The sequence below is a fragment of the Homo sapiens genome, chromosome 1, assembly GCF_000001405.40.
Source record: "Homo sapiens chromosome 1, GRCh38.p14 Primary Assembly".
NCBI classification, from domain to species: domain Eukaryota; kingdom Metazoa; phylum Chordata; class Mammalia; order Primates; family Hominidae; genus Homo; species Homo sapiens.
Genome location: NC_000001.11, coordinates 42830636 through 42854824, shown reverse-complemented (window position 1 = coordinate 42854824; position 24189 = coordinate 42830636). Strand labels below are relative to the sequence as shown.

Sequence of the window (24189 nt, the reverse complement as noted above, 5' to 3'; positions counted from 1 at the left end):
TGAACCCGGGAGGCAGAGGTTGCCGTGAGCCAAGATCGCGCCACTGCACTCCAGCCTGGGCAACAGAGACTCCATCTCACAAAAAAAAAAAAAAAAAAAAGAGAGAGAGACAAGTGAGATTGGCTGGGGAGCTTTGTTCCAAGATCAAAGCAGGAGCCTGGTACATTGGTCGTAGGCCCAACTGGCAGCAGACACTCATAATTATAAAAGTCACAGTGGGGCTCAGCACAGTGGCTCACGCCTGTAATCCCAGCACTTTGGAAGGCCGAGACGGGTGGATCACCTGAGGTCGGGAGTTTGAGACCAGCCTGTCCAACATAGAGAAACCCCGTCTCTACTAAAAATACAAAATTAGCCGAGCATGGTGGCACATGCCTGTAATCCCAGCTACTCGGGAGGCTGAGGCAGGAGAATCGTTTGAACCTGGGAGGTGGAGGTTGCAGTGAGCCGAGATCCCGCCGTTGCATTCTATCCTGGGCAACAAGAATGAAACTCTGTCTCAAAAAAAAAAAAAAAAAAAAAAAAAAATCACAGTGGTTGTCACAAAGTCTCCAAGTCAGGAAGGAGTCAGACTAAGCTTCCCAGACTGAGAGGGGATCTGTAGACCTAGCTTGATAGTGGGTATAATGAAGAGCTTGACCTTGGGATCAGACATACCTGAATTAAGTCTCCACTCTGCCAATAGGTCTGGTTATTTAATCTCACAGAATTTTCTTGCCTTGAACATGGGGACATTACTACCTTACAGGATAGTATGAAGACTAGAGATAAGAGTTGTACAATAATTGGCACTTAGTAGGTATTTAAAAGATGGTGATTTTTATTATTAGGGTGTGTGCCAACTCACACACACAAGTTTGGGTGACTATGTTTAAAATATATTGTGTGGAGATTTTCAAGGAATCAGAAAATGTGTATGAAATAAAAGTGCTTGGTAAACAGTAAAGTACCCTATAAATATAAATGAATCATTTGGGAAGTCTTTTATAGTTGGATAAAATACAGGACTTGAATTTGGGCAGTAGTTCAGGTCCTACACCCCGCATTTACTTGCTCTGTAACCTTGGGCAAGTCCCTTTCTTTATCAGCCTATTTCTACATACGGCAAATGCAAGTCACTCTTAGTTGCTGTGAGAATTCAATAATGAGTGTAAAGTTCCTGGCACATCTCTTACTGGTGAACGGCAGGGTCCCCATGTTAGGTAAGGTTATGGGTGATGTCAGTTCCAAGCCCGGTGCCAGAATCACACTCTGCCAACTGGCTACAAATGAAGAGGGCCCCTCACTCTGGAAGAGTAGGGCCCCAGATTCACAAGAGAGGTAGATAGGGGTCTTTTGTATTTGTTAGAGGAAGGGTTCTTTTGTATTTGTTAGAGGAAAACTGGGTGAACACTAAACTTCCATGTAGAAAACACTGAAATCTGCCATGTGGAGCCAGGCCTAAACCAGGAGGACAGGAAACCAGACATAATCCCTGCTAAGCTGTTCCAGCCTTGAGGACTAAACTATTGCTACTAAAAGCAAAGACTCTCATTATGGGTTTTAAGATTTCTCTCACCTTATCCCACCCTTCACCCTGTACTCCCCGTCACTGCCGTTTTTCCTTGGCACAGAGTAAGTGCTCAATCAATAACATTGAGGCCAGGTGTGGTGGTGTGCACCTGCAGTCCCAGCTACTCCATACACTGAGGTGGGAGGATTACTTGAGCCCAGGAGATCAAGGCTGCAGTGAGCTGTGATCACACCACTGCACTCCAGCCTGGGCGACAGAGCAAGATCCTGTCTCAAAATAAAATAAAGTTGACCTCAAAATAAAATAAAGTTGAAAACGTTCTCATGCTTGGCACTGACTTGCCATAGAGCAAATGGCCCAAGGCCATATGAAGAGGCCACACTGGCTCCTAACTCCAGGCAAGTCTCCTAAGTGGCTCCTCCTTCAGAAGCCAAAAGGTAAATGTAGTGAAAAGAGCAACAGCTGGCAGTCAGGGAGGCCCAAGTTTGAACTCTGCTCCACAACGTACTTGCTGTATGACTTCACAGCAAGTGACTTTATCTTCCCTCACTTTCATGTCCTCTTCTTATTCCTTTGAGAGTTGCTGTGAGAACTACATGAGATAATGAATGTAAATGTGACTGACAGAATTAATCGCATGTAGTGGATGCTCAATTAATGTTAGTTCCTTTCCTTTCCCCCTTCTCCTCAAAGGCCCCAGAAACTCAGTCTGCTTTCCTTTGCTTTTCAGAGCATCTACCCATCTGTCTTTCTTAGAATTCAAATCCCTTCCAGAGTGGGTTCAGTGGGACAATCTCCCCAGCTCCCCACTTCCCCAAATAAGTACACGGGTCCTTTTCATTGAAGGGTTTTACTGCTAATCACTCTGGGGAAAACAGAGGCAGGTTGGGGGAGGGATAACAAGTAACAAACATGGGGGAGTGTGAAGGTCCCTGGGTCATGGCTCCCTGAGGGTTTCCCTTTCATTTCTAAGGTGGGACCTCAGATCTCTTCTCCAGACCAAGGAGGCCCCTTCCATTGAGAAGGTCACTCCTCCCACCCCAGAGATCTAGAAGCAAAGTTGGGGCACAACAGGTGGGAACTAGCAGGAAACTGCAGTGCACTCCTACCTAAGCAGTTCACAGACAATTTGGAGAACCTTCAGACAGTGACACCCATCTCATAAGTACTTCCTCAAAGGCCAGGGGGACTGCTGCCTTAATAACATGAGCATGTTCTGAGCCTACCCTATTTCTCTTTCACCCCAAGAAAGTAAAGCCAAGACTGGGTCTTCTGACTTTCCAACACGAGAAATTGGCCTGGAAAGAGGCAAGGGTTTTTATTCCAGAGTCCCTCCTCAGGACTTCCTGAGATCCTGACTTCAGAGGCTATACAAAACCATTCTCCAAAGTGGGATGAAGGGCTTGAGGTCAAGGTAGCAGCAAAAGATGCTGAAGATCTTCCTCCAATAGGTTAGGGTCTCTCACTCTCTCTCCCTCACTCTAAATGGGGCTCTCCTTCAGCTGGAATCTTTCCCAGCCTGTTCGCCCAAGTGAGTTTTCTGGTGGCGGATGAGATTCGAGCTCCGGGAGAAGTGTTTCCCACACACAGTGCACCGGTAGGGCTTCTCCCCTCTGTGGGTCCGCTGGTGTGCTCCAAAGTTGGAGATATCGCTGAAGGTCCGCCCACACTCAGTGCACTCATAAGGTCTCTCACCTGTGTGGGTGCGGTGATGCACGCCAAAGCTGGAGCTGTTGCTGAAGCTCTTCCCACACTCACAGCAGATGTAGGGTGCTGGCTCCAGGTGGGTCCGGTGATGCACAGCTAGCGTGGCACTCTGGCTGAAGCTCTTGCCACAGATGTCACAGCGGTATGGCCGCTTGCCTAGGTGATCTTGCTGGTGCGTGGTGAGGTCTGAGCGCCGCCGAAAGCTCTCCTGGCACTTGGGGCATTTGTAGTGTTTCTCTTCCAGGTGGATCCGCTCGTGCCGGATGCGGTTGGAGCTTCTCGAGAAGCTCTTGCCACATTCAGAACACTTGTAAGGCTTCTCACCAGTGTGGATCCGCTGGTGTGTTCTCAGGTTGGAGGTATTATTGAAGGTTTTGCCACACTGGGCACATATAAAGGGCTTCTCATCTGCCTCATGCCTTGGATGAGCAATGGGGTCCCCTAGCTCTCGAGCCCGGACAGTGACTTTCTGCCATGGCTTTTTTGGATGAGTTTCTTGCAGTTCATCCGACAGGCTCTCTTGCCCATGCTCCTTCTCCCCAGGTGGGATCCAAGAACCCTCTGAGTCATCCACTCTCCAAGGCTTACCCCCTTCCCCTTCCTCAGGCAGGTGTGGTTCTGGACTCTGCTCCTTCTCACTGCCCATCTCTGAACCCTGAGAATGAACACAAATGGCCAACACCTTTATTCTTTGGGTTGGGCCAGATCACAGGGAATCTTTTGTTCAGTTTGAAGGGTATACACCTTCCCCATGGGACCATCCATTAGAAATAACCTCAATCAACTGGAATACTTGGATAGAATACCTTTACTTGCTACCTTTTAAGTGACAAACTTTCAGAGATATTTAAAGCTACCCACCAGAGCAAAAAGAAGGCACCGGCTTTGTCCACCACCACCAGATGATATTTGTGCCATTTGAATAATGTCACTCTTCTTGAAACCACTAAGCAATGACAATCCAGACTATAATTCATGGGCAAGTAAAAGAGCTTTCATTTTGGGATAAGTTCAATTTTTCTGCCTAACTGTAAGTTAACTGTAACTCTTTTTATGTTTAATCCTTTTTGAAAAACCTTCCTTACAAGTATCTACCTATATGCCTGCTTTCAAAATGAACAAAACAAAACCTCTAAATCTTGAGGCTTTCCTAGGTGACAAGGCCCAGCTTTGGCTTTTCTTGAGATTTCTGCCACTCTACCCCTCTCCAGCCCACACCAGAATCTAGCAAGTAAACATCTGGGTTAATACCTGGGACCTCCAGGACCTACTGTGGGGCCTGGGCTGTGTTTCTTCTGATCAGTCAGTGCCCTCCACTACATTCTCAAACACCATACAAAGCCCCACCCACACCCCCCGCCCACACACGCATGCATGCACACAAGCAAGCAGAATCACACAGACACAGTCACACCATACACAAAGCCATATTCTCACGTAACACGGTCATACTCACATACCTGACATACTCGGTCACATTCTCATACCACACACAACAGCTATACACCTACACACCACACACAGCCATACATTATCACACCACACACATACATACTACATACACACTCATACCACATATAGCCACATACCACAGCCACACACATATATAGCTACATACATGTCTATACACATATACCCATACACCACACACAGACACACACTCACATACCAAGTACACACAAAGATAAACACAGACACAGACACACAAACCACACTCCCCACACCCCACCCCAAAACTAAACACATAAGAGTGCCCAGTACAGGTCCTGATTTGTGCAAACATCACTAATGTGTGCTAAGCTGCACAGACTCCTTTGGGTTCCTACAGCCAAGGACAGGGAAAGAGTTGGGGGGAAAAGTACCTCTGATGAGAGTGGTAGCATTTCCTCCGGGCCTTGAAGAAATAACGACATTTCAGCAGAGTGGGTTGGTGAACAGAGTGACATGAACAAAGGGATGAGGGAGGGAAGCACAAACTATCATAGGACACTGATGATAGAAAATGAAAGACTGATAATTCCTTCAAGTCTGCAAGTATTTCTGGAAAAAAGAAACACAGAATAAAGAAAGGGGTACTGACTACATTTAGGGTTGGATTACAACTGTGACACATACTATCTTTATCGCTCTCTGCAAATTATTCAACCACTCTGAGCCTAAACTCCCTCTTCACTAAAATTGTGATACCTACCCACACTACAAGACTTTGTATTAGAAAAAAATGCCTGTAATACTCAGCAGAGTGTGTGACACATGCTGTCATTCAGCAAATGGCAGCTGCTGTTACAACTGTTGAAGACACTACGTCCAGGCCCTGTGAAGAATACAAGAAAAAGATCTTTTAAATGATCTCATTAAGAAAAAACTTTTAACTTAAAAATAGCATAAAACTGTATATAACCTTCTAAAATGTGAAATACAGACAGAACCTCAACTCTTTAAGAACCAGAGGTTGACAAGCTTTTTCTGTAAAGGGCCAGATAATATTTAGTAAATATTTATGGCCATGGGATATCTGCTGTAACTATTCAATTCTGCCACTGTATCATGAATCATGAAAGCAGCCATAGACAAGACATAAAGGAATGTGTGGCTGTGCTCTAATAAAACTTTATTTAAAGCAACAGGAGGTGAGCTGTGGTTTGCCAATCCCTGTTAGTGTTCCTTGAAGAATTTAGATAAGAATATGAAAAATAATTGGTTTGCTTTACTTCCAAAAATGCAAGTAAACATGAGAAACTATTCCTTGATACTTAGACACTGTTTCCTGACCATCCTTTAAAAAATTAAAATCACTCCCACACTCCCAGTCCTCCTGCCCCATAGCACATCTTACCTTCTGACATTCTCTTTATGTCTATTATTTATTGTCTGCTTCCCTAAAACATAAGTTCCATGAGAGCTGGTGTCTTTGTTGTTTTTTTGTTTTTTTTTTAATTTACCAATGTAACCAAAACTCCTAGAGTAGTGGCAGCCATATACAGTAGATCCTTCATAAGTATTTGTTGAATGAGTTGAATAAAACACCAGCTCTGTCTTCATGGGACACAAGTAACCATGAACTGTCTCACCCACTTTTCCTCAGCAATCTCCTGATTCCTGCCTACTTTCTCCTTTATGCAGTCACAGAATCTTGTGCTTGGCTTATAGTGGTTTGCAACTACTAGTAGAACATGTCTGTTTCTATTAGTAGTTTATAAGCAACTTGAGGAAAGGGACTGGGTCATATTAGTAATCTCCTTCTGCAGCATAAAGCTGGGTGCTCAAATGTCTTTTGAATGTATAAGTGACAGGATGTGATCTTAATTCACGCCACCATCCCATCCCCCACCCCCTGCCCTGCTCCCATCTGACCTACAGCTACAGTATCTCTACGCAATGAGCTATTCAGCCTCCACTCACTTCCGAAACTGCTATTCTGAGAACCTATAATTTACCAAGTTCCAGCTCTACCCGGGGCTGGATGCTAGGTCAATGTAAGAGCAAAAGGATTTAGGATTATGATTACCACTCAGTTTGTGATACAGTGTACTGAAACAGACCGTGAACTCCAGAAATTGTCATACAATGCAGAAGGTTAAGTTCAGGGGACAGGGGCAGGAACTGTGCCTTAGTCACCTTTGTACCCACTCCTCAGTGTCTAACACAGCACCTGGCACATTATTAACATTTTTTTAAAGCTCGAATCAAGTGCTAAGCTGTGGACTAAGGACCATATATGAATCATCTAATTTCACTTCACATCATCCTTATTTTAGAGATGAGAAAGCTGAGGCTCAGAGAAATTAAGTATCTTGCCCAAGGGCACACAGCAAGTAAGTGGCAGAACTGGGGCCTATGCCCATCACTTCAAAGTCAGTGCTTTTAACCATTATACTATTACTGAAGGAAAAAAGGAGAGAAGACGGGAAGGAAGGAAATAAAAACAGTACCACTGAAGTTCACATGATACAGATGTATCTCCCTGATGAAATCAGGGCTGAGAAGTTTCAAGGAGGAGTAGGTATTTGACCTAAGGTTTGCAGGATGGGTAAGACTGGGACTTGCAGAGATAAAGAGGCAACTACCTACTGAGAAGACAGTGCAGCTGAAGTACAGAGGCACTTTCATATCACACTGCAGAGATCTGGGGGGAAAAGGGGTCTATTGGGCTTTGTCTTCCTGGTGGCTCAGCTGCACAGAGAGAAGCAACGGTGGAAGGGGCTGAGAAGTGGAGGAGGGGCCAGGTCTAAGAAGTTAAGAGCCAAGAAGATGGGGCTAGTGATCACAGATGATGAAGGTGAAGCGCCTAGGTTAAAGGCAAGGGGCCAAGCCATAGTGCGGTATGGAGGTCCGAAGTTACAGGTCTTTGGGGCCAAGTCAAGGGCTGCAGGGAGGAAGAGGAGAGAGGAGCTATGAAAGACCAAGAGCAAGGTGCTAACAGGGTAATTGTACAGGGAAGCTAGATAACGGGTCAGAGATACAGGAGGACCAAGGAAGTCAGAGGGTCGCAGGAGACGGTCAGGGAAGAGGAAGCAAAGGCTGCCAGAAGTGTCACAGGCCAGGGCCCAAGAGCTGAGTTGTGTGTTGCGGGGCGGGGAGAAGCCAATGGCGGAGGTCCAAGGGTACAAGAGCTGGTTTCAGAGATTGCCGGCGGGCTTGGGGCCAGAGAGGTGGGAGAGGAGGAGGGGCTGATCCTAAACGTATGGTCAGCGGCAGGAAGGCTGTATACTCAAACCCAACAGAAGGGCCGGGGAATGGGTTGGGGACAGCCACCTGGCTGCGTGGGCCGGGGGCCAGGGCGAGGGTCGCGGCGGAGGGACCACAAGGCCCCTTGGCTTCCCACTCGGTCCAGGGAGCAAAGCAGCAGCATCCAGATCCTCGGTGAGAGGGAAGTGGCCGTGTACAGAGTTTCCCGCGAAGTCGTGTCCGCCTCCCCCCGCGACCTCGGGCCCAACCCGGACCCACCTCGCTCCCGCCGCTCGATCAGGGACAGCGCCGCCTCTGTAGGCGAGGGAAGGAGCTGGAGCCGGAGCCGGAACCCAGGAAGGATCCGCCCTACTACTCCAGGATTGGTTTCTTGGGATAATTCTTTATTTCCATTGGCTACCATGACTGCCACAACGCAAGCGACCTGGCAGGACCACCAATAAGCTTTGACCGCTGGCGTGGCATGCTGGGAGTTGTAGTCCTAAGGAAGCGCGTAGACTCAGAGAAAACTTGCGAAGTTTAGGATGGAGCTGAAGAGACTGGGTTCCGTCCTACGGTGGGATTTCTTTCCGTGCTCGCGCGTTCAGCCCCAAGTCTCAGGGCCACTCGTCTGGGAAGTTGTAGAATCTGTATAGCCAACCTACACAACCTCCAAGGGGGCAAGTACTCAAATTTCCTTCTTTACTTTGAGTTGGTAATCCTTGACCGTCCTGTAGACGTCCAACGAAGCCTAGAGTCTGGCACCTCACTCAAGGTTTATAACTTAAAATCAAAGGAGGGTAGAGCTGGAAGGGAGTTTAAAGATAAAATAACCCAATCTCCTTATCGGAGAAGCTAAAAGTACCCTGTTCAAGGATCAACCTCCAGGTCTTCCAGCCCCCCTGAGCAGGGATTTTCCCGGGTTCCGCGTGCATCCCTAATTAAGCCTGACACGTGTTCGTCAATCCAGACACAACAAGATCACCAAAGTATCCAGGACTAGGTCTTTTTTTTCAGGTTTTATTTTTTAAAATAATAAAAGGCTAATGAAATACGTAAACTACAGGCTTCTCGTATCTGCACAATGTTTCAGTGCAAAGAACAAGGAGCATTGCCTTCAGAGCTAGATAAACCAAGTATAAAACTCTGGCTCTACCACCTAGCCATTTGGAGTACCAACTCCCTCCCCCATAAAATCCCTGGCAGAATTACTGTGAGGATATTATATATACATACATATATTCTCATGCATGTGTATGTGTATACATATATACATATATATGTATGTATGTTTTATATAGTTGTAAGGTTATAATACATACATATATTGAGGTTATTTCTTGATGACATTAATATTCAAATCAGTAGACTGATATGTATGTACATATATACATGTATAATACACATACATGTGTATATACATATACTAATGTATACATGTGTATATACATGCATACATGTGTGAATATGTATTATACATACATATGTATATATGTGTATACATATACACGTGCATACATGCTAAATACATATACATATATATACACCTATGTAGTACAGATATGTATATACACATACATGTATACATGTGTATATGTGTATGTATGCATATGTGTGTGTATATTATATGTATATTCATGTATGTATGTGTATATGTATGCATGTATTCTGCCTCCACAAGCTGACAATGTGAGTTAGTTTTAAGATTGGGATATTCAGGAATGCATGTTTGGAACTGAATATGGTTGAGTGAAATATGTGTGCCTTATGAACACTATTTGTTTATAAATTGATAAAATAAAATACTAGAGAGCAGACTCAGGAATAAAACTATGGCTTTAGTATGAACGGTGGCTAAACCTTGCCTTGGGGGACTCAAAGCTCTTTGGAAACCAATCTCTTACCTTCCCCACAACTCCTCATTCACAATGAAAATAACAGCATACCAAAACACAAATACCAAACTTTTATTTTAAAACTGTACAAAAGCAAACAAAAAATTCCACTGAGTCACTGTGATAGTTAATCTTATGTATCCACTTAACTGGGTCACAAGATGCCCAGCTATTTGGTCAAACATTATTCTGAGTGTTCCTGTGAGGGTGTTTCTCAATGACATTAACATTCAAATCAGTAGACTGAGTAATGCAGACTGTCCTCCCAAATGTGGGCGGGCCTTGCTGAATCAGTTGAAGGCCTGAATAGAACAAAAGAGCTAACTCTGCCCTAAGAGAATTCTTCCTGCCTAATAGCCTTTGGACAGGACCATCAGCTTTTTCCTTGCCTTCGGACTTGAATTAAACATCATCTCTTCCTTGGCGTCAAGCCTGCTGCCATCAGACTGGAACTAAACCATCAGCTCTCATGGGACTCCATCTTGCTGACTTATCCTGCAGATCTTGGGATTTAACCGCCTCCATAATCACGTGAGCCAATTCCTTATAATAACCACCGCCCCCCTGCCCCAATATATATTGATTCTGTTTCTCTGGAAAACCTTGACTAATACAGGAACTAACGGAGAACTTCTGACAAACAGAAAGATACAGTTTCTGTTGGATAGAACTGTGTATTCATCTGCAAACTGATAACCAATATCTCCATGGTTAGGCCAGATCGCATATATGATGTGACTTGAAAGCGACGAGGCTTCTGCAATACACACCCAAAAATCAAGGTCATTATTTCATCCTCACACCTAGTCTACCAACTTCCTATTTGAAATCAATACTCTCCAACCTAAGAGGCTGTTTGCTACACAAATACTCAAGTATTGCAGTACAATGGTCTTGTGGGGAAAAAAAAGCTTCTACGTTGGTGGTTAAAACTGCCACTTTTTCTAGCTGGACCTCTCTGAATCTCAGAAAGGGTTGGCACAACAGATTGATTCATAAGACAGTCACAACAGACTCAACAGACTGAGCCTCTGAAGGTCTGGGCCAAGGTCAGAGGGCAACATACAGCTGAGTTCTCTGCAACTGTGTTTCCCAGCTCCCTGATGTGCTCCTGGGGCTTTTCAGGATTATAGCAACTGTATTTAAAGTCGCTGTACCTAGTTACCATCAACAGGCAGATTAGCTTTTGAAAGCATGTACATTAGCTCTGGATATCACCAAACTATGTTGTAAACAGCATCAAGAAAATAGAAAAGGATGGTATGTTTTACTCATCAGCCTTTCCCAATTCATTCCTGAAGAAAGAGGGAAAGAGTGAGTGGTCTAAAACATGCTTGCTTTTAGAGAGCTGACTTTGGGGGGCAGAGGCCAGAACTGAGAGAGAGAAAGGCAGTCCTCAATGGGATAAGTAAGAAGTCAGGGACTGGGGGCCATAACTTCTTGACTAAAGCTTGAGGGCAGGATGAGGCAGAGAAAGTGTCTTCTAAATAACCCCTGGAGTAGCGAACTCTTTTCCCTGAACCTGTGCTGTATCTTGGTAACACATATTCAACATCTCCACCTGCACCTAAACTGATTGTTTGGTTTCCAGGAATCCTCCCTCCAGGTCACTGGGAGCTTCAATTCCTTAGAAGAAAGGTAAGCTTCAGAACTGAGGCCTGGGAGAAAAGTGGTACAAATAGAAACCACAAAAGGGTCTGGATTTGGGTTAAGGTGAAGAGACGTTCCATAATCATGGGGTTGGGCCAGGCGACTGAAGTCCAGGGTGCTGGGCTGGATGGTGATGGGAGCAGGTAATGTGGCATATCCCTAAAAAGAAGGAGCCTTGAGCTCCTGAAGGGCTGGGCCAAGGTCAGGGGGCAAGGACAGGATTATATCCTTCAGCTCTGGGGCCTTCGGGGGTAGTAAAGAAGAGTTCACCTTGAGGGACACATCTCCATTAGCATGGCCTTTCCCTTCTGGCCTGGGGACAATTGATTCCTCTGATTTGTGTAGTTCTGAACAAATGACTAGAGGTGCTGTGTTTTTTCCTCCATCATGAAGGCAAGGTTCAAAGAAAGGGCGAAGGGGGCCAGAGAAATTGTGGGTGAAAGTAAAGATGTGGGACTTGTTGGTCACATTGTAGAAAGAGATGACTCCTGCTTCATAGTCCAGGAAAATCCCCACACACCGTGGAGGCTCTTTAAGGCGGAAGGAGGTCTGCGGGGATGTGAGAGCTTCATACTCATTCCCACGACTCTGTCGCAGAAGCCAGTGTCCATTGGCAGGTGAGGCAGTAACCTTCCCCTTCCTGCTCACTGACTCACTACATACTCCAAGAATCCATTTGGTCTTGTCTCCCACATACACCTCCCAGTAGTGGCAGCCAGTCGTGAAGTACTCAGAGCCTAGGATGCTGACAACGAAATCAAATCTCTGGGGGTTGTCAGGTACAGGCTGCCGTCTGTCTCCAAGCCTTACACATCTTTGGTCCTCAGAAAGGATGAGTTTGGGATGTGCTGTGTCTGGGTCCAGGGTCACTGCCACTGCAAAGAGACACAGACAGGTGAGGCTTGGAAGTATAGGTCTTAAGGGATTTGGGGATGGCTTTGGAGGGAAAAAGAATCTTAGGTCTGCCATCACTGTCATTAGCCCATTTTAGTTCATGGATTCCCGCCCCCACCATGTGTACTGGAACCAAAGAATATTCTCTTTCAAAGAATAGGTCTCCTGGTCGATTACTAAGTAATAGAAGAAAAAGTTCTTCTTCATCTGTCTGTGAAACTGCTTTAATCCTCAGGAAATAACTACCTGTTATGATTTAAGTGTGTCCCTCAAAAGTTCACGTGTTGGAACCTTAATCCCTCATTGCTGCAGTGTTCAGAGGTAGGGCTTAGTGGGAAGTGTTTGGGTCCTTCACAAAGAGATGAATGCAGTTTTCACAACACTGGGTTTATTTCTCTGGAGAGCAGGTTATGATAAAGCAGGTCAGGGCACTTTGTCTCCTCTCTGCTTTTGGAGGCACTCACTTGCCCTTCTGTTCTTCCAGAAGCAACTATCACCATACTATGAAGTAGCACAAGCCCTTCACCAGATACAGTCGCCCAATCTTGGACCATCCAGCCCCAAGAACCATGAGCTAAATAAACCTTTTTCCTTGATAAATTACCCAGTCTCGGGTATTCTGTTATAGCAACAGAAAACAGAGTAAGACACCACATTTGTCTTTGATGTTCCAAAATAATCAAATGTGTGATGATAAATACAGGGTTTGTTGTTAGATCCTGTAGCCACATAGCATGTTTGAATCCCAGCTCTGCCACATGCTAGTTATGTGACCTTGGGCTTGTTACTCATCTCTGAACCTTAGTTTCCTCATCTGTAAAATGGAAATAGTAACAGAACCTGTGTTGTAGAGCTATTGTGCAGACTTGATGAACTAATGATATAGTGCCTCATTCCTACAGTGAGTGCATGATATTCATTCTGTCACCTAAAATTATTACTTATAATTATCTGCTTTATTTTATTTTATTTGAGGAAGGGTCTCACTATGTTTCCCAGGATGGAATGCAGTAGGTATTCATGGGCATGCAGTCATAACACACTACAGCCTTGAATTCCTGGCCTCAGGTGAACCTCCCACTGCAGCCTCCCAAGTACGTAGGACGAAATTATTATTTTTAAATGTTAATATAGAGAGAAGGATTCTTCCCTAAAATTGTGGATTATGAGTGTCACAGTGAGTCTCCTTCCTTCCCCAAATACAGGAAACAGCTTCTTCTTAGAGAGTTAAGTCTATAAACCATACACAGTTGAGATGGTGGCAATAAGCCAGACTGTAAATGTGAGACAGAAGGGTTTGTAAGTTCCCAGAATGCCAGCCAAGGTGACCTGGAGTTCTCTCGAGTGGCCAACTCATAATTTGTTGTACTCTGCCTGAAGGAAGATGGTGTGAACAGGAGGAGGATAAAAGCCTAGAAAATTGATAAGGATCCCAAAGCAGTGAAAAAAACAGGTCCCATTTGAACAGCAGCAAAAAATGCAAACTATTTAGGAATACATTGAAAGAGAGGTGCAAATCTTTTCATAATGTATATTGTTGGGGCATCTGCTCAACCCATTCCCTTCTTCTCTGAGAATCTCAATCACCACCCCTAAGCAAATTGGTCTGCAGAGAAAGAAGAAAAAGCAAATGTGTAGAAAGAGGCGGAAGCAGTGGCTATTTATCTGGTTGTGGGATAGGAAGGACTTCCCAAACCTGAAAGCATGGAAGAGACTACACAGAAAAAGATGAATGAATTTGACTACGTAAAAATAAAACACTTATGCATCAGAAAAATACTATAAGGAAGTACAAATGAAAAGTAATGGTGACAAATATGACAAAGAGCTAATATACTTTATCTAGAAAGAGTCTTCACAAATCAAAAAAAAGCCCAAATAGAACAGGAACAGACAAGTCACACAAAGAAGAAATACAAATAACTGATAAACATAGGAAAAATCTCAAAAACCACAGAAAACCCTTAAGAAGACCAAACCTAATATTATCAGTGCTCTAAAAGAGGGGATACTTTCTAAATCTAAATATGACCTCAAGATCGATCACAAAGATTTTTTTAATTTGATAGTCAGATATACAGATTTGATTTAAAAATTTTTAAATTACCTGCATTCCAGAGGAATGGAACAAAATCTAAGGTTACAAAGCCATAAGGAGGAAGTGCTCTGAGATATGGACCTATTTGATTGGTATAACTTACCAAAATGCAACCGGGCTCTTCTCCAGCCTGAAAAATGAGAAAAGGGGATCATTAAAGTACCAGAGACATCAAGAACTCCTGTAGGGTGGTGGTCAAATGTGGAGAAAGTGCATCTCACCTGAGTTTGCTGCAGCTCTTTTCAACTCTATGAAAGAAGAAACAAGGGGAATGAGCTATCACTGCAAATATTAGGGCAACAGGAGATAAGTTGGTACGGAAGTTACAAGAACATGGGAAACTTACTCAGTTCACTCCGGAGTTTCTCTAAAGAATGAAAACAATTTGGCAAATCAGAAGGAGGGCCTCTATGTAGAGGCCCTCCCATAATGCTACAGTCCCATCCCAACCATGAGCAGACAGATACTCAATAGCTATACCCTGGAACTTCCCCAGAAGAGTTTGCAAGAGCAGTAGATCCCAGCTGTGGACCATGGGAGTATCCCCAGAGATACTGCAGAGGATCAGCAAATTCCTATGTGAGCCAAACCTTATCTGCAGGCTAAATAAATAACACATCTCACACCTACAGGTAATGACAACATAAATTATGTAGATGTTGTAGGAAATATTACTTCATTTAAAACTATCACTGAGTATTGGACTTTGTGATCATGTATATTTTCTCAATGTAATAATTAATGCATAGATATGTCACATGTCTACAGATTTATTTTTATTTTTATTTTGAGATGGAGTTTCGCTCTTTTTGCCCAGGCTGGAGTACAATAGTGCAATCTCGGCTCACTGCAACCTCCGCCTCCCAGGTTCAAGCGATTCTCCTGCCCCAGCCTCCCAAGTAACTGGGATTACAGGCGTGCACCACCACACCCAGCTAATTTTGTATTTTTAATAGAGACGGGGTTTCACCATGTTGTCAGGCTGGTCACAAACTCCTGTCCTCAAGTGATCCACCTGCCTTGGCCTCCCAAAGTGCTGGGATTATAGGCATGAGCCACTGCACCTGGCCAGATTTTTTTTTAATGTTAAAAAGAGGTCCTCACACATGAAATGATGGAGAAGTACTGCTCCAGCATATTCAGTTTAATAAGGATCCTGTCCTCCTGGACCCCATCTAAGGAAATGTCATGCCTGGGTGATAAAAGGGACTTCCAGATGGCTTCACCTATGGGAGATGCATCTATCTCTTCCTGGTGAAACGTTTTTCATTTAAAGACTAAATAATAGTTGTGCAGGAAAGAGGAGCAGAGAATACTTGAGAAAAGAGGCCTTTGAGAGCCAAGAAAGCCCCAGTCCCCATGGCTTGAATTACCAGTACCCCCTCCCTTCTGCCCCAGGAAGTGAAACTGAGATGCTCATCCCAAAGCAAAAGTGTCAGCAGAAGGAGCTTGTGCCATGGATGAGGAGCAAAACTTACTGACAGCTTTATGGAGTTTTCCTAAAAACCAGAAAGAGAGAGAAGAGTGAGTGATCAGATCCTGCCTCTTTTTCCTCAGAGCTGTGGCAGCCTCATCACTCCAACCCACAAGATTAAAATGATGGTGACGCTTCTATGTCCCTAGTCCAGCTCCGTGTCCCAGAGTTCAGACCCAGAAATCTGATGGTGCTGGTGACACTGTCCCAGTGACCCAGCCTGCCCGGGACTTTGGTTCCTCCTTCCCCTTCCCCTCCTTTTCATCTGTCTGGTTTCATTTCTGCTGTCGGCATGAGTGTTTCTATATGTTTGTAACTGCGGTACATGAGTGTATGCACTGCTGTCCTTTTATAGCCCACCGTTTATGGTATCTAAGGTGTAAAACTAGCTAAAGGCCTAGCATGAACTTGTTAATATGGCTGTATTATTCTCTACAGTAACTCCCCTGAGGTTATAAATTTCACAAATTGGAGGTCCCAGAAGATTTGGGGACATGTGTATGAGACATGTGTTTCTGGGGAGTACTTGCAGCTTCTCTGGAGGGCCATGTGGCCCACATTTCCCCCTACCCAGCATTGGCCCTGCTAGACAATTGAAGTTACACATCCTGAGTCCACCACCAGTCCCTGTGCTAAGGGCCGGGCATGTGTTAGGCATTAGGCATTGGAGCAATGCAGCCGAATACGACACGGCTCCTAAGGAGCTTATGGTTTATTGTTACCATCTCCACTACTAACAGCTTCCATTTACTGTCTGCTGTGCTTATACTGAAGTAGGCACTGAATCCTCTCAATAATGTGAGATGCCTAGAATTATTATTGCCATTTTATAGGGGGGTGGTCTGAGGCTCAAAGGGACACAAAATTTGCCCAAGGTCTTCCAGCTAGTAAGTGACCAAGGAGGCAGGATTCAATCTAAGTCTGTCTGACTCCTGAGTTAGAGGCCCTCTCCCTTACCCCACACTGTTCCCTCTTCACTTGAGCAGAACAGCCAGTGTCTGCCAGATACACGCCACGCTTGCACCAGCTTGGAGGAAATGTAAGGAGGGAAGAGAGGAGACGCTGACATCATTGAATCTGGAGTCATCTGAGCCAGTGACTTGTCTTCCCAGATAGACTTCAACAAGGTGTCCAACTCAGTGGCCCACAGTAAATGTCAAATTAATGAAGACAAAATGGCAATAAGGAAAAGGAGTTCCAGGCACTGTGACAGATTTTTTTTTAAGGTTGCCTGTTTTAACACTGAAAACAATCAGGTAAGGGGAAGTTATCTGCATTTTGCTGATGAGGAAACCAAAACCTAAGTGGCAGACCAATGATCTGAGGTGTCACTGACCCCAGAGCCTGCGACCCTTCCTTTGTATCATACCACCTCTCTCTATGCAAAGGTTGTGTGGATTCTTGAAATTCCCATATATCCCATATGACCACATTAATATACTTTTCAATAATATGTAGACTTCTTTTTAAAATGGTTGGCGGAAAGGCTAATGAAGGGAGTTTATGGTAATCTAGGCCTGTGAATTTTGACCTGGGCACCTCCTTACCCACTGCCACAAGCTCCACAGCCCCTTAACATTGCACACTAAATTCCAGTAATATCAATGGAGGATATATGTGTGCATGTGTGTACAGTATTATAAAAATAGACTTATAATAATGACTGTCAACATTTACATAGAAAAATAAAGAATGTGTTTTTTGTTCCCTACCCCTTACTCTTTTATATCATTACCTTTTTCTTTAGCATGGTCTGAAAGAAGATTGTCTAGAGGAAGAAAGGAAAAGATAATGAGATTTTTTGCCACTGCCTTGAGGATCCCTGATTCCTATTGATTTTACCTGCCCTTGGACCTGTCCACCTCTATCTTCACCTCCACCTCCCTGATCCGGTCTCTAATCAACTCTCACCTGGACAACAGAAATGGCAGCCCAAATTGTCTCCCACATCCTGTCTTAATCCCTCTGGTCTCTACTAAACTCTGCAGCCTGAGAGAATTGTTTAGTTTTTTTTTTTTTTTTAAATCTGCCACCCTGGCTGGATTGCAGTGGCATGATCTTGACTCACTGCAGATTTTTTTTAAAAATCTGCCACCCTGGCTGGATTGCAGTGGCACGATCTTGACTCACTGCAACCTCTGTCTCCGGGGTTCAAGCAATTCTCCTGTCTGTCTCCTGAGTAGCTGGGATTACAGGCACGCACCACCATGCTCCACTAATTTTTGTATTTTTAGTAGAGACAGGGTTTCGCCATGTTAATCAGGCTGGGCTTGAACTCCCGACCTCAGGTGATCCACCCTCTTCAGCCTCCCAAAGTGCTAGGATTACAGGCGTGAGCCACCATGCCCGGCCAAGTTTTTCAAAGCACAATTACATCTGATATCCCCATTCCTTGCTTTACCACTGCTCTTACGAGAATGACTAAAATCCTGAATGTGACCCACCAGGCCTCAGGAGGCTCAGCTCCGCCTCACTCCCCAGCCTCACCCCTGCCACTTTTCCCCTCACTCCTGCACCTCCTCAACTCCCCAGTGAGTGCTGCTTTCCCCGACCATGCTTCTCTCTGAAGCTGTTCTTTCTGCGGTGGCTGGTTTTCCATTCCCTCTTCACTCATGACTTCTAGTCCTTCAGGACAAACTTCATACCCTCAACCCTCAAGCTTGGTTGGTTCATTCTGGTCATAGCCTTCACAGAACCAGGAGCTTTCTTGTGTAGCTTTTGTACACATTTATTTGTGTTAACTATTTAATTCATCTCATTTCCCTGACTACACTGAAAGTTCCAGGAGGGCAAAAACTGTGTCTGCTTTTACTCACTATTGCATCCCCAGAATCTAGTATTGTCCAGGGCATTTTGTAGATAATTATCAAGTATTTGTTGAACAAATAAAAGCTTCCCCCATGTTCAAGCTACTCGACTCCCATAGAATAAGATCAAGCAATGAGCTCACAGGCAAAAATCATTAAACATACAGGAAGGCAAAGCTATTACAAGTAAGAGGCAGTAAAAACTGGAAGCAACGGATTTAGACATTGCCACCATCACCAAGGATAGCAGATAATGGAATTTTCAGGAACAGAATCCAGGTTAGTGGGTATGGGGGGCACAGAAATTAACAACAAAAGAAACATCTCCCCTGCCCCCCAGCCAAGAACACTTACCCACCTCCGTCACATGTTCATAGAGAAGCTTTTCTAAAAGGGAGAGAGAAATGCCAGCTCAGCTTAGGAAGGGCTTTTTCTAACAGGCACAAGTGTCCCAAGATGCCCCCAGCTGCCTGAGTAGGACTGACTCCTTGTCACTACAGGTAAGCGGGCATTTGAAAGGATTAGAGAGTCTTCAAACCATCAGATAAGGGCAGGAGTGTTGGATTACATGACTGTGACTTTCAAAGTCCCTTGCAGCCCTGAGATCCTGTGAAATGTGACCATTTTTTATGAGAGTCTTATCCAATGGATATAATTGGATTTCTTTATTAAAGGGCTGTAATTCATTTCTTAGTTAATTAGAAGGCTGGCATAGTCGGTTATTTTCTTATTTTTCAAAGGATGAGAATTTACAGCTCTGCCCAGGGGCCTTTCTGCAGTTTATTGAACTCCCTTTGCAATGTGTGTCCCCAGGGCATGGCTCTACCAGTTTTCTCCCAGCCAACTTGCAGTGTCCCCAACCTATGGAGAAGTGTCAGGTCTACATCTACTTCCGTCTGGCCCTTTCCCAGAGCAGTCATAGTCCCACTTCCCACCAGCCTGAGCTCCCTTACCATTTAATTACCTTTTGCTCTTCTTTGCTTCCAGATAAGGCAAAGGCACACCATGATGAGAAGTACCAGGACAGGCAGGATCACAGCCAGAGCCACTGCTGAGGGGGAGAGACTCCCCACAGATGGGGCTGAAACAGAAACCACCAACGACTGACCTCAGGGAGATGTCTAAGAGCTTCTGGCATGCCTCAGATGGCAGGCGGCTCCAGCACATCCCAACACTCTCCATCACCTCTAGGGAGAGAGCTCCGGCCAAGAGGCTCTTTGCTTCTCTGATAACTCAAGCCCTGGATAGCATTAAAGATAACTGAGGCTGGGAACGGTGGCTCACGCCTGTAATACCAGCACTTTGGGAGGCAGAGGCAGGAGGATCATCTGAGATCAGGAGTTCAAGACCAGCTGGCCAATGTGGGGAAACTCCGTGTCTACTAAAAATACAAAAATTAGCCAGGTGTGGTGGCGGGCACCTGTAATCCCAGCTCTTCAGGAGGCTGAGGCAGGAGAATCCCTTGAACCCGGGAGGCAGAGGTTGCAGTGAGCCAAGGTCACACCATTGTACTCCAGCCTGGGTGACAAGAGTGAAACTCCATCTCAAAAACAAACAAACAAACAAACAAACAAAAACTGAGATGTTCCTCTCTCGGGAATGGTTTGGATGGTCCTGCCTCAAGATGATGACTTAAACAAACTTCTTGACCACAATCTCATCCTGCCCTATAATTCAATGGAAAAATAAGCCCGGGACTTCAGAGGACTGAAGGCACTCTCCTCACTACACACCTCCAGTCTTCCCAGGAGCACCTGCCTGTTTACCCCTGTCAATCCTCACTCTGCTCTAGAAGAGCAGGCAGCAACCTCTTTGCCCTGAGCACTGTCCACGGGGGCAAAGCAATTTCTATGATGCCGCAGCAGTAGGCCTGAAGCCTAGGCAGGAGAGAAAGGGGAAAAGAAAGAGGAAATAGAGGAGAGGAAACGAGCAGAAGCGGGCTATGGGTAGAAGTAGTTAAGAGCCTAAGCTGGGAGTATGTCCTTGCTCAATGCTGTGTGACCCAAAGCAGGAGACTGAGCACCTCCCAGCCCATTGTCCCTCATCTGTAAAATGTGTGCATGACAGGACTCCTTATCTCTTTGAGGTTTGGAGAGATTTAAAGAGGTCAGTCATATAAAGCATTCAGTCTCCTAAGTAGCCGGGATTACAGGCACATGCCACCATGCCTGGCTAGTTTTTGTATTTTTTTGGTAGAGACAAGGTTTTGCCATGTTGGCCAGGCTGGTCTCCAGTTCGTTTCAAGGATCATTAAAAGGTTCAGGCCAGGTGTGGTGACTCACACCTGTAATCCTAGCACTTTGGGAGGCTGAAGCAGGAGTATCACTACAGCTCAGGAGTTTCAGACCAGCCTGGGCAGCATGGTGAGAGCTCATCTTTATTATAAATAAAAAAGAAAAAATAAGTAAAAGGTTTGAACCCTTGGACCCATTAATTCTACTGCCAGAAGTACATTATTAAAAAAAAAATCAAAATCACTTTCCAAAATACGTTCAAAGATGTTCATTGCACCCTTCATTATAATATGAGGAAAATTTGGAAAGCATCCAGATGCCCAGAAACAGGGCTTTGATTAATTTTATTATTCTATAGCCACATGGCAAAATACTATGCAGCCCTTAAAATCATATTACTTAGGGACATGGGCAAAGAAAACAAATGCTCATGATATCATAAGTGGAAAAATATCCTGGGCACAAGAATACACATGTGTAAACATACATGCTCAGAGATACATATATACAAAAAAGTCTTGCAAGAAAGATACAAAAATGTTAGCAGCAGTTCTCTCTAATTTAAGCTATTATAGGCCATTTTTCAGTTTCCTTTAAATATTTTGGATTTTTTTCAAATTTTCTACAATATATATGCTTTATTCTTAGAATTTAAAAAAATTGAAAATTCCTCAAAAAGTTCCTGCTAGGGTAGGAATTTCCTCAGGAACCACCAGCGCCTTCAAACCTGTTTCCACCCCAGCTTTTACTTGTTATGACCACAGCTGTGGTCTTCTCTTGGCCAAGGGCCATGTTGTGGATGGTTCAGGACACATTCCCCAGTGTGCTGTCCCTGACTCTGCTAGACACTGCTATTTGGAAGAGCCCAGCTTTTTCCAGAGAGTGGGCCTCTGACAGGGATGGAAGTACCCTGCCTTGAGGTTCTCTCCACTTGGCCCAGGGCTCTGGGAACCATCCCACCTATCTGCACACCAGCAGGGCCTCTGCCAGGGTATGGTCCTGGCCATGGCCCTCTTCCCCCATAGCCTCCTGTGATGAACAGGGGCAGCTGTTAATGGAACTTGTCCTCTCTCCACTCTCTCCCCACGCTCCTCCTAATGGGATAAGCCAGTCTCTAGCTTTATTCTCAGACATTTAAAAATTCACCCATAGCAATAACTGTATCACATGATTCAGATTCCTGTGGGCACCTCGGTCCCCTTTTAAAAATTACTTTTCAGCTGGGCATGGTGGCTCATGCCTGTAATTCCAGCACTTTGGGAGGCTGAGGTGGGAGGATCACCTGAGGTCGGGAGATTGAGATCAGCCTGACCAACATGAAGAAACCCCGTCTCTACTAAAAATACAAAAATTAGCCGGGCGTGGTGGCACATGCCTGTAATCCAGCTACTCGGGAGGCTGAGGCAGGAGAATCACTTGAACCTGGGAGGCGGAGGTTGTGGTGAGCCCAGATAGCATCATTGCACTCCAGCCTGGGCAACAAGAGTGAAACTCCATCTCCAAAAAAAAGAAAAAAGAAAAAAAAATTAGTTGGCCATGGTGGCGGGCACCAGTAATCCCAGCTAACTCAGGAGGCTGAGGCAGGAGAATCACCTGAACCCAGGAGGCGAAGTTGCAGTGAGCCAAGATTGCACCAATGCACTCCAGCCTGGGCAACAAGAGCAACACTCCATCTCAAAAAAAAAAAAAAAAAAAAAAAAAAAAATTAATTTTCACCCCAAAGGACTCCAATTTGGAAAGTCTGTCTACCAACTACTGAGTGTTTTAAAGTAATTGATTCATCCCCACTTCATGGTGTGTGACTTCAAATTATGACCAAAAGATAATCAGCATGTGACCATGTGAAGCCAGTGTCATTCAAGCAAATGCAAAGACATGGTTTGGGTTGGGTTGAGTTGGGTTTGGTTTGGTAGACTGATTTTTTAAAATATTAGTAGACTGATTTTTGTGGACTGATTTTCAGTAAACTGTTTTTTTTAAATATTGAAGCTAGTTTGAGAACACTCTCAACTGGGTGCAGTGGCTCACACCTGTAATGCCAATACTTTGGGAGGCCAAGCGGGGAGGATTGCTGGATTGGAAACCAGTCTAGGAAACATAGGGAGACCCTGTCTCTACTAAAAGTAAAAAAAAAAATTAACCAGACATGGTAGTGTATGTGTAGTCCCAGCTACTTGGGAGGCTGAGGTGGCAGGATTACTTGAGCCCAGGTGGTCAAGGCTACAGTGAGCTATGATTGCACTACTGCACTCCAGCCTGGGCAACAGAGCAAGGCCCTATCTCAAAACAAAAAAAAAAAAAAAAAAAAAGAGAAAAAAAAAAAAAAAAACACTATCTCTCCCTTCCTAACCCTTTACTTTCTCAGGAACCCCAGGAGAGGACCCATTAAGTAAATCCTGTCACAGCAGGGGATCTGTCCCTTGAAGACATTTCTTTACAGCCATGTAATGAGTTCCTTGATAATGGAGCATAGAAAGATGACCCAGGGAGGAAAAGCTATTATCTGAGCCTCCAAGCCCTATTTAACCAGGACCTGCATTGTACAGTGTTTTCCAAAGTCTGAGTTCCTTCCTTATCAGAAATGCCTAGGCCAGCTTCACAGCCTCAGCTGAGATCAATGGACATGGCTGGGTAAGGCTGAGCCATCCTGGCAAGTAAAAACTACACTGCAGATGAAAGAAAAGTCTAGACATGGAGAGACAAAGTAGGTCCTGATTAAGCTTGTCCAATTGCCACAAATGACCCTGGGCACCTCAAACCCATTCTAACCTGCAACCTGCAGGATCACGGTGTCCTCTTTACTCAGATTTCCAACTTGGATCAGACATCGGTAAGACCCTTGGTCCTCAAGGCGCACGTCAAGGATCTGCAGAGTGACACTTCCCTCTTGGGCATCTCTCACTAGCACCGTCCTCCCCTTATATTCCGGCATCAGATCTTCATCCTGGTCCTTCCCATCCCGGAATATGTGAACAGCCTGGGAGCGCTGCGGGAATGGGGACCGCAGCCACCTCACCTCCTTGGGTACCGTCCCGGGCCAGAGGGAGAGAGGGCAGAGCAGCTCGGCTGTGCCCCCTAGTAGGGCCACGTGGAACTTGCCGGCATCCCCTGCGTGGCCTGGACAAAAAAAGAGACAAGGCCAACTGGGAGGGACGGCAGGAGAAAGCTTGGGAAGGGATGAGGAAGAGGATATCCCGGGGACGGACAGAGCCCAGGAAGGACTCTGGAAAGGATTGCCAGGGCCGGGGG

The 24189-nt window shown here is 45.0% G+C and overlaps 2 protein-coding genes and 2 long non-coding RNA genes across 18 annotated transcripts in view, besides 2 other annotated features; 2 read left to right on the top strand and 2 right to left on the bottom strand.

Annotated features, from left to right (window-relative positions):
- Positions 1 to 2347: 2347 nt before the first annotated feature.
- On the bottom strand, positions 2348 to 8212 carry ZNF691 (zinc finger protein 691). Of its 7 annotated transcripts, none has more exons than XM_047421910.1 (4): positions 8168 to 8212; positions 5412 to 5534; positions 4082 to 5260; positions 2348 to 3875 (listed from the first exon to the last, which is right to left on the bottom strand). In XM_047421910.1, exons 3-4 carry the CDS (start codon positions 4136 to 4138, stop codon positions 3012 to 3014), a joined length of 921 nt encoding a protein of 306 aa, XP_047277866.1. In that variant the 5' UTR covers positions 4139 to 5260; positions 5412 to 5534; positions 8168 to 8212; the 3' UTR covers positions 2348 to 3011. The 7 variants fall into 7 exon arrangements, with proteins under 7 accessions (XP_047277866.1, NP_001229668.1, XP_016856891.1 ...); NM_001242739.2 differs by having other exon boundaries at positions 5083 to 5260; XM_017001402.3 differs by having other exon boundaries at positions 4082 to 5534.
- Positions 8176 to 8245: an enhancer, noted in NCBI's record as "active region_898". NCBI's record gives its function as "activates an Ori minimal core promoter by ATAC-STARR-seq in GM12878 lymphoblastoid cells {active_cell/tissue: GM12878}" and the evidence as "EXISTENCE:reporter gene assay evidence [ECO:0000049][PMID:35858748]".
- Positions 8406 to 8675: an enhancer, noted in NCBI's record as "active region_897". NCBI's record gives its function as "activates an Ori minimal core promoter by ATAC-STARR-seq in GM12878 lymphoblastoid cells {active_cell/tissue: GM12878}" and the evidence as "EXISTENCE:reporter gene assay evidence [ECO:0000049][PMID:35858748]".
- ZNF691-DT (ZNF691 divergent transcript) lies at positions 8411 to 12930 on the top strand. The gene is made up of 5 exons (NR_186083.1): positions 8411 to 8568; positions 10141 to 10314; positions 11375 to 11421; positions 11909 to 12050; positions 12812 to 12930. It is a non-coding gene; the product is annotated as a ZNF691 divergent transcript (long non-coding RNA).
- The window catches only part of ERMAP (erythroblast membrane associated protein (Scianna blood group)), a 27870-nt gene continuing 13514 nt past the window's right edge, over positions 9834 to 24189 (bottom strand). For 6 of the 9 annotated variants that reach the window (XM_047443591.1, XM_006710313.5, NM_001017922.2 and 3 more), the window contains 9 exons: positions 23710 to 24057; positions 19671 to 19787; positions 19061 to 19093; positions 17635 to 17667; positions 15904 to 15924; positions 14772 to 14792; positions 14647 to 14673; positions 14529 to 14555; positions 9834 to 12308 (listed from right to left, as the gene is read on the bottom strand). In XM_047443591.1, coding sequence (XP_047299547.1) covers positions 11593 to 12308; positions 14529 to 14555; positions 14647 to 14673; positions 14772 to 14792; positions 15904 to 15924; positions 17635 to 17667; positions 19061 to 19093; positions 19671 to 19787; positions 23710 to 24057 — 1343 coding nt within the window. In that variant the 3' untranslated portion in view covers positions 9834 to 11592. Of the gene's footprint in view, positions 12309 to 14522; positions 14556 to 14646; positions 14674 to 14771; positions 14793 to 15903; positions 15925 to 17634; positions 17668 to 19060; positions 19094 to 19670; positions 19788 to 23709; positions 24058 to 24189 lie in introns of those variants that run through there. The other 3 variants (XM_047443595.1, XM_047443588.1, XM_047443600.1) reach the window with 3 other exon arrangements.
- Positions 17166 to 22925, top strand: LOC124904163 (uncharacterized). Its single transcript, XR_007066035.1, has 2 exons — positions 17166 to 18985; positions 19694 to 22925. It is a non-coding gene; the product is annotated as an uncharacterized LOC124904163 (long non-coding RNA).

Coding starts and splice junctions, on each gene's coding strand:
- ZNF691 (NM_001242739.2), bottom strand. CDS start 5,166: ATGTCACTCTGTTCACCAACCCACTCTGCTGAAATGTCGTTATTTCTT. Junction 3,876..5,082: donor TGCTACCACTCTCATCAGAG/GTACTTTTCCCC, acceptor GTTCATTCTCAG/GGTTCAGAGATGGGCAGTGA.